Source organism: Homo sapiens, chromosome 2 (genome assembly GCF_000001405.40).
Source record: "Homo sapiens chromosome 2, GRCh38.p14 Primary Assembly".
NCBI classification, from domain to species: Eukaryota; Metazoa; Chordata; class Mammalia; order Primates; family Hominidae; genus Homo; species Homo sapiens.
Genome location: NC_000002.12, coordinates 119,528,202 through 119,542,388, shown reverse-complemented (window position 1 = coordinate 119,542,388; position 14,187 = coordinate 119,528,202).

Below are 14,187 nucleotides of genomic sequence, written 5' to 3'. Positions count from 1 at the left end.
GATAACCCATAGGTCTCTGTATAAGAAGTAAACCCATTTGAATTTTATAGTGTAGTGGACACTGCTGGTTGCCTCCTTCCACTTTCTTTCTAATGGAACCACAGCTTTCCTGAAGTTTCTCCCCAGTCCCCAATTCTAACAGTAGACCTTGATTAATCTAGGCCAGGCCAGGCATGGTGGCTCATGCCTGTAATCCCCAGCACTTTGGGATACTGAGGTGGGAGGATCACTTGAGCCCAGGAGTTTGAGAGGAGGCAGGGCAACATAGTGAAATCTCATCTCTACAAAAAATTTTATAAATTAGCCCAATGTGGTGGCTCACACCTGTAGTTTCAGCTACACAGGAGGCTGAGGTGGGATGATTGCTTGAGCACAGGAGTTGGAGGCTGCAGTGAGCTATGATCATGACACTGCACTCTAGCTTGGGTGACAGAGATCCTGTCTCAAAACAAAACAAAACAATGCAATCCAGGCCAAGTATGGAATTCCTGATCCCCTTGCCGACATTGCCCATGATTTAGTTAGGGTTGTATATGTAGCCCCATTCTGGCCACGGGGACAGGAAAAGGGTTCTGGGGACCTCTGGAAAAGACTTTCTTTCTCCTAAGAAGATATACATAGATACAGTATCTTTCTTCTTCTTGACTTCTTAGTGTCAGGAAATGATCCCGGAACTGCAGCTGCCATCAGAGGCCATGAGGGGCCCAAGTGTTAAAGAGGTGACAAGGACAGGAGAACAAGGAGACAGAGAGACCCTGGGGCTGGATGATGTCACTTCACTTCTATTTGTTTGGTCCTTGCATTCCATTTTCTCTTTCTTCCCACTGAAAACAACTGACATATAATGACTTCTGGACACTTACTTCTCAAGGTGTAAACTGTGGCACAGGAGCTTGTTAGGAATGCAGAGTTTTGGGCTATACCAGACTTTGGTTCAGGCTACTGGACCAAAACCTGCATTTTAATAAGATGCCCCAGAAGATTCATAGGCACATTAAAGTTTGAGAATAATTAAACTGATGGAGCCCTATAATTATAGCTATATTAGATAATCAATTATTTAATCCATTTATTTATGTGGTCCACATTTATTTATTTCAATGAGTGAACACAATTCACTCATTGAATTTAAATTCACTTATAGAATTTACAATGAGTGGAACACAAAGGTGTCCCAGCATCTGCCATATGAGTGCAATAAGACAAGCGTGATAAAAGGCTTGGAAGCTATAAGCTTCAGTAATACGTGGGGAGCCGTTAATTTCCTTGCTTAAAACCCCTTGGTGGCTTCAAATTGTACAGAAGAGAAAATTCAACATCCTTAACACTCTTTCCCCGCCACCCAACAGAAACAGGGTCTCGCCCTGTTGCCCAGGCTGGAGTGCAGTGGCGCCATCATAGCTCACTACAGCCTTGAACTCCTGGGCTCAGGTGAGCCTCCCAGAATAGCTAGGACTATAGGTGCATGACACCATGCCTGGCTAATTTTTTTTTTAACTTTTTGTACAGACAGAGTCTCACTGTGTTGCCCAGGCTGGTCTTGAACTCCCAGACTTAAGTGATCCTGCCTTAGCTTCCCAATATGCTAGGATTATAAGTGCAAGCCACAGTGGCTGGCAAAAAAAATCCTTAACAGTCTTTTAGGGCTTTGTAGGACCTGGCTGCTGGCCCCTTGATTTGCCTCCTCCTCGCCCTGCTTCATTGTGTTTCCCCACCTCCCCTTTGCCTGGTATGGAGAGTGAAAGCTGGCTGCAAATTCTTTGCCACTGCTCCATGAAGAGGTGGGGTCCCTGTCCCCTCCCCTTGAGTCTGGGTGGGTCTATGACTGCTTTAACTGCCCAGTGGCGTCCTACCTGAATTCTTGACACCAGAATTTGTGAGATATAATAAAATGATGTTGTTTCATGCCTTTGAGTTTTGGGATAGTAGGTTATTCTGTAGCAATAAATAACCAGAAACTTGGCTGATTCCTACTCAGCCTAAGGGTTTCTTCCTCAGTGGGGCTTTTCCTGGCTTTCTTTCTGTATCAGGTCCTGCACCTTGGTGCTGTCTCCAGTACTGTGTTCTTTCCCTTCATAGCTGTCTTAGTCCATTCTGGCTGCTGTAGCAAAACCCCTTAGACTGGGTTCCTTACAAACAACAGAAATATATTTCTCATGGTTCTGCAGGCTGGGAAGTCCAAGATCAAGGCACCAGCACATTTAGTGTCTGCTGAGGGACCACTTTCTGGTTCATAGATGGAGACTTCTGGCTATGTCCTCACGTGGTGGAAGGGGTAAATGAGCTCCCTTACGCCTGTTTCATAAGCCCATTTCACTTATGCCAGTTTCATTCAGCCCATTCACGAGGGCTTCACCTTCATAATCTAACACGTTCCAAAAGGCTTAACTTCTGAATACCATCACCTTGTGGGTTAGGTTTCAACAAAGGAATTTTGGGAGACACATTCAGACCATAGCTGCTGGGTTGACCTCTTTGACATCTGCCTTCTTGGACTGTAAGTTCAGTGAAGGCTGACTAGTTCACCACAGTGTATGCAGTGCCTTGTCCACTACCTGGCACATCCTGGGACCTCAAAAATATTTGCAGAAGTAACTAATTAATGAGTTATGCCAAGTGATTTCTAAAGTTTAAATTATATATATCTTTGGAATATGGGTAATATAGTCATGTGGTTCAAAATTCAAGAAGTGAAAAATCTCTCTCCTTCTTCTGCCTTTTGCCATCAAGTTCTCTCTCCCAGAGGTAACTCATGTTACCAGATCAGAATTTATCTTTACAGGAATATATTATACATATCAAAACAATTGTGTGTATGCTTATATTTGTAAGAAGTTTATCTCTTGCTTATTTTATTTATATATTTTTGAGACAGAGTCTTCTTTGTCACCCAGGCTGGAGTGCAATGGTGTGATCATGGCTCACTGCAGCCTTGACGGAACCCCAGACTCAGGTGATTCTCTTGCTTCAGCCTTTTGAGTAGCTGGGACCACAGGCATGCACCACCATGCGGGCATAATTTTTTTGTAGAGACAAGGTTTGGTCATGTTGCCCAGGCTGGTCTGGAACTCCTGGGCTCAAGTGTTGAGGGAGGCCTACCTCGGCCTCCCAAAGTGCTGGGATTACAGGTGTGAGCCACTGTGCCTGGCCTTACCCATTGTTTAAAAAGCCCAAATTGCTTACTTTTCTGTCTCCCTTTTCTTCACTTAAAAATATATCTGAATGATTATACCATATCTGTACATGAAGTACCTCCTCATTCTTTTTTATAACTACGTAACATTCCATATTTCTTTAACTAGTTCCCCATTGTTGAATATTTAGGTTGTTCCTGAACTTTTGCTATTATAAGCAATGTTTTAATTATTTGTATAGATGTGTACATCACTTCTACAGACACATATATATCCATTCATATACATACGAGTATATCTGTAGGAAAAGTTTCCAAAGTTGAATTGCTAAGTCAAAAAATCTGTGCATTTGTAATATTGACAACTATTGCTAAATTGTCTTGCATGGGTGTTGTATTAATTTCTACTCCTATTTGTAATGCATAGGAGTGCTTGTTTCTTTACAGCCTCACTGAGTATATTATAAAACTTTTACATTTTTGTCAATCTGATGGTGAAAAATTGTATTTCAGTGAGGTTTTATTTTGCATTTCTCTAATGATGAGCATGTTTTCATATGTTTAGGAGACGTTTGTGTTTTCTTTTCTGTAAAGCCATGTCCCTTACCCGTTTTTCCATTTGGCTTTTGGTCTTTTTCTTATTGAGTTGTTGGAGCTCTTTATATATAGAAACATTCATCTTTTGTTCTGTGATAACTGTCGCAAAATTTTTTCCCAGTTTGTCATTTGACTGTGCTGTTAATAGGTTTCACCTTTCAGAATTAAAAATTATGTTGTATTTATTATCTATTGCTCCATAACATATTACTCCAAAACTTAGTGATTTGAAACAACTATAATCCTTTATCTTTTCTTATGTTTTTTCTGGGATGGAAATTTAGACAAGACACAGCGGAGATGGTTTGTTTCTGCTCCATGGATGTTTGGGGCGCCAGGTGGAAAATATGAAAGCTGGAAGATAGAATCTTCTAAAGTCATCATAGAGGCAAAGGAAATTTTTTCCCTTTCCCCTCTGAAGGTTTGGGTCTGAAATATACAGGCAATAGAAAGATTAAGAGGAGAAAAAGCATGCCAATTTATTTACATGCACTGAGGTATCACAAGAAAGTGAGTACCCAATAACCCAATGAGGTCTAGAAGCTCAGATAGTATTTTGAGTTATAAAAAGAGAATTAAAGGCTCCTGGGAGATGCTGGTGACAAACTATTGGAGGGTGAGGGGAGGAAATGCACTGTGAGCAAAGGTTATCTTATTGTGCTGATAAGGTCAGGTAACAGCCATCAAAAGAATAGGTGATTGCCTGTGGTAATCTCTGTCTTGGGAAGATATCAGACCCTCATTCTTCTTTAGGCAAATAAAGGGGCTTCAGAGAAAAAGCTTTGCTTGCATCTGCTGTTTACTTTACTATTGTAGATAAATATAAATTTCCTTTATAAAAGGACAGCTTTCAGAACTATTCCTATCTGCAGTTCTCTAAATAATCAACTTGAAATATGCCAAAAAAGGATGTTCTGGGGTGGCATATTCTGACTGCCCACAGCATCATCTGGTGGTTGATACTAAAGCTGTCAGCTGGGAGCCTGACAACACAGTCATATGTGGCCAGACTCCCTCACAACCTGGCCGCAGGTCCCAATGGCAAGTGTCCCAGGAGAGAGCCAGGCTTAAGCTGTATTCCCTTCTATGACCTAGGCTTAGAAGTCAGTCATACAGCATCACATCCACCTCATCCATTAGTTGAGGTAGTTATGAATGCCCACCCAGTTCTAAGAAGAGGAAACATAGACTACCTTTGGATGGAGGAGTGTCAACATCTTTTTTTTTTTTTTTTTTTGATATGGAGTCTCTGTTGCCCAGGCTGAAGTGCAGTGGCACGATCTTGGCTCATTGCAACCTCTGTCTCCCTGGTTCAAGCGATTTTCCTGCCTCAGCCTCCCAAGTAGCTGGGACTACAGGTGTGTGCTGCCGCACCAGCTAATTTTTGTATTTTGGGTAGAGATGGGGTTTCACCATGTTGGCCAGGCTGGTCTCGAACTCCTGACCTCAGGTGATCAGCCCTCCTTGGCTTCCCAAAGTGCTGAGACTACAGGTGTGAGCCATACTGCGCCCAACCGAGTGTCAACATTTTTGATAGAATACCACAGTCTGTTCTTCTGGAGGTAATTGTGGATGTGAAGCTGCAGAACTGCTGTAGCCACCTGGCCACCATCCTGGTGTTATCCAACTCCAAGGAGGGCAGAGCCAAGAGAACCATAGGCAAACAGAGGCTGGTCCATGCATGAGTCCACCCTGAAACAGGCTCTGTGTCTGCACTCTCGTTATGTGAGCCAAGAAACAACTTAATTGCTGTTTCAGCCAGTTTGAGTGAGGACTATTGAAACTAGATTTGTCTGCTGTCAACATTCTTGTCTTTGTTTCAAAGGCCTTATCAGGCAGAAATGTGGGGAGTCTCTGGGAGGTGGGGGTACACCTGACCTTTCTTTGCTCCATCCAGTGAAGATAAGGCCTTGGGAAGACTAGTAACAGTGCCTTTCAGGCATGGTTCTTATTTGCTCTCTTTTATTCGATCTGTGTTAATTATAATAATTTATATAAATATTCAAAAGGATGCTGACAAATGGAGGAGAGAAATAAGAAAAGTAAAGAAAAGCCTGCTTTCCTGAGAAAGCCAGTCCACATTTCCAGAGTGTAAACAGCGAGCCTGGGCCATAGAAACCTCATTAAAATGTTAGTGTTATACCTTTGTACTTCTGGACTGAATAGGAAATCATGCTTGTCCCATTATTTATGCCTCATCAATAATACATTAGCTCAGCTCCCAGTAAAGCTGACATTCACGAGAGGGCAGATCGTTTTGTTTGGTTTATTCAACACCGCAACGGGGCAGAGCAAGTTTATTGCACTTGTGTAGTCATGTGGTGAAGACCTTAGACCCAGACACGCAGGGGTAGCCAATTTCTCACTTCCTTCCCAGAACTCTCCTTCCCCCTCACCATCCCCTACCCTCACTCCTGGCCCCAAATCAGCCCCTTCAGCTCAAAGATCACTTCACCAGAGAGACTTCCCTAAGTATAAGTCAGGGCTCTTTCAGTTACAAGTTATGGAAATTGATTTAAACAGTTGAAATATATGGGAAGGGGGTGAGGGTGCGGGGCAGGAGAAGAGAGAGAGAGAGGCGTCAGTCACAGCTGTATCTAGGTGCTACATGATGATATCAGGATTTTGTCCACTCTATCTCTTGGTTCTCCCCGGCCAAGTTGGCTTCATTCTCAGCCAGGATCTCCTCATGCTGTAGAAAAGGCTACCATCTTCCTTTTAGCTTGATCATAATGCCAACACATAGGTTTTGCTGGTGCCACCCCTATTGGTCCAGGTTGAGTCCTGTGCCCATCCCTGAAGAAATCACTGTGGTTAGTTGGTTGGAGGATGGGGTGAAGCTCTTTATCCAGGCCTGGGTCATGTGCTCACTCCTGCAGTTGCTCATGGAGAAAGCCCCACCCAAGTTACATGGTCTAAGAATCCGGGAAAGGAGGTTCTTATGCCAGAAGAAGGGGGAATGAAGACTGGACAGCAAAACCAACAGATGTCTATTAACTTGAATCTCACAACATTGTTGATATTCAAATGTATTTGACCTGCAAAAATGATGGCTGATCTGACTCAAGCTAATGCATTAATACTCCAGGCTTGGCCCGGTCCCTCATTATATATTACCATATAATTTATCACAATTTGCAATATCATCCACCATACATTCTGCAGTTGCTAGTGTCAGCCATCCAATAGGTTTGCTAAATATGTGATTATGCAAGTCTCTTATTTCTTTAACCCTAGTCTCAGTCATCTTTCTGGGCCTCCTGAGAGGGGGTGCTATCATAGCACCCTGGCTTTATGTGGGTCTGGGGCTGCCAAAGGCAATTTCCTCAGGTCTCTGTCATCTTAGCATAGCACCTGGGACAGAGTAGGCGTTCAGTAAATACTCATCAACTGAAAGTTAGCTCTCCAACAAGCGTTTATTGCTGTTGAAAAAACACAAAGAAACATAAGTCATAATTGGAAAAGTAATTAAAAATAAGATCTGTCAACCTGGTGAATCTGCTCCACAAAATGAGGAAAACAATGAAACTATTTTATGATGAAAGAAGCATCAAGCCAGACTGTGATGTGCATCACTGGCAATCCACAAGAGTTTGCCAAGACAGATAGAAACCTCACCCTTTTATATGGCCAGGCAGATATAATCTTTTATAAACATGTAATTGTCTTTATCAAATAGAAAAAGAAAACGTTTCAGATTTCCTAATTGTAAGAAGCAGGAAATCACAACGAAGAGCCAAATGCCTAGGCTAAACCCCCACAGAGACAGGAAGACAGGGGGCCATCTCCTGGGTGTTCACATTTCAAGGAGATGGATCTAAGGCCTCCAAGAAACACATTCCTGGGATGCAAATTGGCAAGAGCCTTGTTTAGGTTTTAAAAAGATTTGCATACATCTCAAAGACACAGAGAAAGGATTTCTTATTCCGTTTTGTTCTGTTTTTGTTTTTATTGATACATAATCTTTCCACATATTTATGGAGTATGGGTGACATTTTGTGACATACTTAGACTAGGTAATGATCAAGTCAGGGTCTTTGGGGTGTTCATTACCTCGAGTATTTACCATTTCTATGTGTTGGGAACATTTCAATTCCTCTCTTATGGCTATTTTGGAATAAACAAGATTTTGAGACTCAGAAAACAGTGGCCCAAAATGAAGGCCTCAGAAGCAAAAGTTTTTCTCTGACCTTCTCTTGCCCGCCTATCTCTCAGTCCTGCTCTCTCCAAAGGCCAGCCACTGGAACAGGTCCTTTTCCCTAAGGTAGATCATGGAAACCAGAACTCCTTTTCTCCAAAGCTAACCACAAAAACCTAAAAATATTACTCTAACTTTTCCTCTGCCTTTCTGTATAAAAACTGGCCATAAAGAAATCATCTGACCTCGGCCAGGTGCAGTAGCTCACCCCTGTAATCCCAGCACTTTGGGAGGCCGAGGTGGGTGGATCACGAGGTCAGGAGATCGAGACCATCCTGGCCAACATGGTGACTCCTCTTTTTGGAAGGAACCTCTGTTTTATCTCATGAAACTTCATATGCTATAAATGGAGAAATTTCTCTCAAGCCTAAAGCACTATTCTCTTTTACATTAAACTCCTTTATCTCTTTTGTGTTAAAATACATACATGTATGCATGTGTATGTTATACATTGTGTCTACATACATGTATATGTCTAAACATATGTTTATATATTATCTACACATGATACCAAATTAAAGATGAGTGAGTACTCATAAATTAAATAACTATCACAAATACTTTTCAAGTTCGTGTGACTTTAGTAACCTTTGGTAAATAAATAGAGTTTTCAAATTTTTGGTAAAATAAAATAATCTTCACAATTTAATTTAGACATTCTTTGCCTGGGTTTATTGGTCAGACAGGTTTATACTAGAAGTTTGAAGGTCTTTACTGGAGACCTTCAACTTGAAGATCATAAAGCTGCTGCTTCTATGATATTTTTGATACTTTCTTAATTTCTCTGTGAGCTTATAAAAGCATGAAAGTGTGGTTTTTCTTGAAGGGAAAGTAATTTTATCTAATTAGAGCACTTTAAAAGTTGTTTTCAATTGAAGGAAAAATGATAGATAAAACTGTAGACTATAGTTTGTTCTAACCATTAACCTTTGTTTTTCTTTTGTTTCCATAGAAATTCCTGTGAGGTTTCATCCACATAACATGACCACTTTGCTAGCCAAGCCTCCTCTTCTCTCCCTCCTACAACCTGTCTTGCCACTATCATCTGATTTATCACCAAAATCTGGTTTTGGCCATGCTCTGAGTCCCCATTCTTTCTGTCACCTCAAGATGATATATAAGCCTCTGTACTCTCTCGGGGAGTAGGCAATCACTCTGTGGTTCTCTGTACACATGTTAATAAATTTTGCATGCCTGTCTCCAATTAATTTGTGCTTTGTGAGTTGATTGTTCAGTGAACTTTCAGAGGGCTAATCAGGCCTTGGATTCCCTTAAGTGTAGCTTCCAGAAGAGCAGAGCTTTGGTCCTACCAACTGTGCCAAACTGTAGGGGCCAAGGGAAATTTTCCCTTTTGCCCTTTGAGGGTAAACTTTTAAGTAAACTTTTGACTATTGAGCTCTTTTAAAAAATTCCTTTTAAATATTTTATTATCAGATTTTAGCTGGGACACACAGCTGATATTTATGACTTTTTGACTTTTTTTTTTAAACCAAAGTTACCTTTTAAGTGACTTACCAAAGCCAGTAAACTGTAATGAAGATTATGACTTAACCAAGGACTCACAAGGGGAGACAGCTCAGAACAAAAAAAAAAAAAAAGGAAAGTTTTGTTAGTACAACCCACATTTCTTTCTGGCCTTATTTTCTAGGGTCTCACCTGAGTGTCTACAGACAAAGGTCCCAAATCCTTGTGTCTCCTTATAGATAGAAGACAGAAGATCGAAAGCAGCTCATGGTAAACCCAGGGGATTGAAAAAAACATCTAGCAGAGATATTATAAACCTTCAGGAAGGTTTATAATGGAAACCCAGGAAAAAATGTCTAAATTAATATCTGAAGGCATTTCTATTTTATTTTGCCAACAGTATTGAAACTCTTTATGTGCTGAAGATTATTAAAGTCATGTGTACTTGAAAAGCATGTGGGCTTATTTACTTAACTTATGAGTACTCATTTATTTATAAGTCAATTTGATACTCATGTAGACAGTCTATAGACAGACATATACACATACATGTAAAGATACAGATAGACACAAAAACTTTATAGCATTGATTTTATAATTTTGGCCACAAGACAAATAAAATTCACTGGTTTAAAAGGACAGCTGGATTCAAACTATGCCTTTGTAAATGGAACAAGTTAAAGGTTATTTGTCCCACATGGTCCAAGCACTTACTGAATTTTAGAGAAAGCAAGGTAGCAATTTACGTTCCAAACATACACACACACACAAAAAACAGAGAGACAGAGAGAATTTAAGCTTTTTCAAGGAGTTTGGGTGTGTTAGAGGAACGTTAAAAATGGATGTCAAGGCAATACAAAATCATAGGAATTTACCATATAATTTTATAAAGAGATCAAGTTTATTTATCAAGTATTTATCAAGTTACTTTATCAAGTAAATTAAGGTAGCACTTAATTTAGTGTCTGTTTTCCAACTGGACCACTGGGATCAGGGTGGAGCCCATTAAGGAAGAGGACCAAAGGACCAACGAAGCATTTACAGTTTTTAGCGCCTAATGATTTAAATATGTGAAAAGCAGGCACAACTGAAGGCAGAACATTTAGACCCTTAAAGATCGAGGATCTCACTTTTACGTTGATTTCCAGGTCCCCAAAAAGAGGGAAGCACATGCAACACTTTCAGAGTGCACTTTGCTACAAAGACATTATAAGTGTTTAAACCACACATTTCTTATCTAAACACAAAGAAATAAGTAGTCTCCTGTAGTAATAACTGTTTACTGTAAACAAGTGCTCTTGGCCACCTCCAAAACTGCAGCTGTTGCCAGTCATCACACACACCAACGTCAAGTTCTCTCTCACACTACAAAGCAATCTCTGATATCCCCAAAAGCCAAAGAGATCAGGCAACACAATACAAAAGAGTAGAGTTTTAGGCGTGAGAAAAATCTGTTTACAACTCTTTATACTCTACAGGAAGACAGAAGACCACCAAAAGGGGGCAGTGGTACTTTTCCTATGTTCCTTAAAGTGTTCGAATCATTAGATGTCACCTCTAGATTCTTTCTGTGGTACTGAAGGCAGCAAAGAGAAAGAAAGAATAGGGAAGAGTAGAAGCAAATGAGAGAACAATCCTTAAGAAGGGAAGTAAACACAAGGACCAAGCACATAATTTCAGGCCACTGGAAAAAAAATTCCAAAAAACAAGATCCAAAGAGAAAAACCAGAATTTTTTTTTCTGCTGTGTGTGTGTGTGTGTGTCTGTGTGTGTCTGTGTGTGTAACAGTCTGGCCATAGAGCTCCTTTTAAAAAAATTCCTTTCAAATCTCTTATTATTAGATTTCAGCCAGGACAAAAGGCTGATATTTCTGGCTTTTGAATCTTTTTTCCCAAAGACACCCTCCCAAGTGGCAAAGCAATATCCCTAAAAGTCAAAAGTCATGCAAACATCAAACCAAAAGGAACTGGTTCCCTCACCAGGAATTGAACATCGGCCGTAGCAGTGAGAGCTCCAGATTCCAGATCCTTGCCACTAGACCACAGGATGGAGTGCTTTTATTTACTTATTTTCTTTTTTCTTTTGGCAAATCTTGCAGGTGATACAAAGAAGGTAGTTTGAGCATTTAAAGGATTTTTAAATTTTAATTTTAATTAATTAATTATTTATTTTCAGGCTCTTTTTTTTTTTTTTTTTTTTGAGACAGAGTTTCATTCTTGTTGCCCAGGCTGGAATGCAATGGCACAATCTTGGCTCACTGCAACCTCCGCCTCCCGGGTTCAAGCGATTCTCCTGCCTCAGCTTCCCAAGTAGTTGGGATTATGGGCATGTGCCACACACCTGGCTAATTTTGTATTTTTAGTAGAGACAGAGTTTCTCCATGTTTCGGTCAGGCTAGTCTTGAACTCCTGACGTCAGGTGATCCGCCCACCTGGGCATCCCAAAGTGCTGGGATTACAGGAGTGAGCCACCATGCCTGGCCGCATTTAAAGGATTTTTAACTTGTTTCAGATCTAATATTGTTTAGCAAATTCCCTGGATATTAGCCTTTCAACATCAGTGTCAGTGAGTACTTCTGGTTTAGGAAAGATTTGTTGGATCTGCATTTTTATAAGCTCAACACTTTTATTTTCATCCATTTCCCCCTTTAAAGGACTATTAATCTTTTAATTACCTGTTTTATTACCCTAAGCAATTGTCAGCTGGGCAACAAAGTTGTGTTTTGGAGACTCATCTTGTTCATTGAGTGCCCTTTTTAATTGGGCACAGAACGGTTCAGAACCAGATGCGGTTCATAGTGACTCTGGAACTGCCACAGTAGGAGTTTCAGGCAGGGGCTCAAAGACCTGGGGAACTTCTTCAGGTGTTGGTGATGGACATCTTTGGTTTGCCTCCTGAATGAAGGCAATTTTTCTCAGAATTTGTTTTAAAGGATTTTGGGTGCCACTGGGGGCAAGTCCCGTATTTAAGTTATCTGGTTCTACAGCCAGTTTTTTCTGATTGTGTGTGCAAATAAATTACTTTAGGTATTTCAAGAGATTCCCCCTCCACTTTTTCTTTTGGTCACAGTTGCTTATGACCATCCTGGGTTAGGTGGGTCCTCTCTCCTAGACATCCACAAAACAATGCCCCATAAGTGTTGTACATAAAACCAGCTGCTGGTTAACTCAAAGGAGTTTGTCACAAATGAAAAATCAAACCCGAATTTCAAAAACAGGAAAGCAGCTGCAATGTTGAAAGTATGCTACGTAAAGCAAGACCACTGGTGCCTAATGCCAATCCTTTGACCCAAACCTCCGCTGTGAGACAGAGGCAGAAAAACTTTGACCCCAGTCCTGAGACAGAGGCAGAAAAAAGGCCATTCTCTGCAGTGCTCATTACCTAAACCTCCTGTCCAAAGATGGACTGAAGCCCTCACTCTTTTTTTTTTTTTTTTTTTTTTTTTTGAGACGGAGTCTCGCTCTGTCGCCCAGGCCGGACTGCGGACTGCAGTGGCGCAATCTCGGCTCACTGCAAGCTCCCCTTCCCGGGTTCACGCCATTCTCCTGCCTCAGCCTCCCGAGTAGCTGTCAAGTGGATTTTTAAAGGCAGAAAAGGGGGACATGGAGTGGGCTGATGAAAAGTTGTCTGTCAGTAATTCTCATTGGTTTACAGGAATAACATTGATTAGTGTTTGGTTATAAGCGGTAAGCTGTGGTGTATGGGTTATAGTGTCCAGTGTGGCATTATTAGGTTAATTTGTAGCTCTTCGTGGCAACAGCAAGTGATTTCAAGAGATTAATACATAGGCCGGGTGTGGTGGTGCACACCTGTAATCCCAGCACTTTGGGAGGCCAAGGTGGGAGGATTACTTGAGGCCAGGAATTTGAGAGCATCCCAGTCAACATGTTGAAACCCTATCACTACTAAAAATACAAAAATTAGCCAGACGTGGTGGCACACACCTGTAATCCCTGCTACTTAGGAGGCTGAGGCAAGAGAACTGCTTGAACCCGGGAGGAGGAGGTTGCAGTGAGCTGAGATGGCACCACTCCACTTCAGCCTGGGCGCCTGGGCAACAGAGAGAGACTTTGTCTCAAAAAAAAAAAAAAAGATAAATACATAGGTCAAAGTGGGGAGGAAGATGTGAACATGGTCTCATTTTAATGTCTTTCTGGGCCTGATAATTAAAAGGATTTGCATTCCTCAAGTAACAGTTTTCTCAATATCATCTTGAGGTTACAGAAAGAATGGGAGGCTTAGATTATGGCAAAACAGGTTATGGAGTGGGGGAGAGAGTCATTCTGTTGAGGGGCAAAATGACTTCTAGGGAGAATGAATGGATGGGAAATAGAGATTAACTTGTAAATAGCTTTCTTTGGAATTGAAGGAGTCTGAGACACAAACATCTTGTAAAAGGGTCTGTTGAGGTATGGTTACATTCTTGGTCTTCTTTCTGTAATAGATAATGAGATACCAGAGAGGAGAAGAAAAACAATTGTTCTTGGTGGGTCCTGACTTTAGGCAGATAAAGAAACTTCAGGGAACAGCTTCGTCCTATGCTTTGGGAGAGACAGGGGTTGGGCAGGGGTAGAGGGGAAGGTCAGATAGACCTTAAGCCTTCTTCAGATCAGCATGTCAAAATGCCACATTTTGGGGTAACAGTTTCTGAGCCCCAACAGCCCTTATAGGTGACCTCTCTCCCAAGAACAACTCTTGCCAGCTTTTAGAAGCACTGCTTTCACTCTTTGCCCCTTGTTAAAGAAAAAGTTATTGCGACACTTGCCAAAATGGTAAGGATGATTTATTTCAAGAC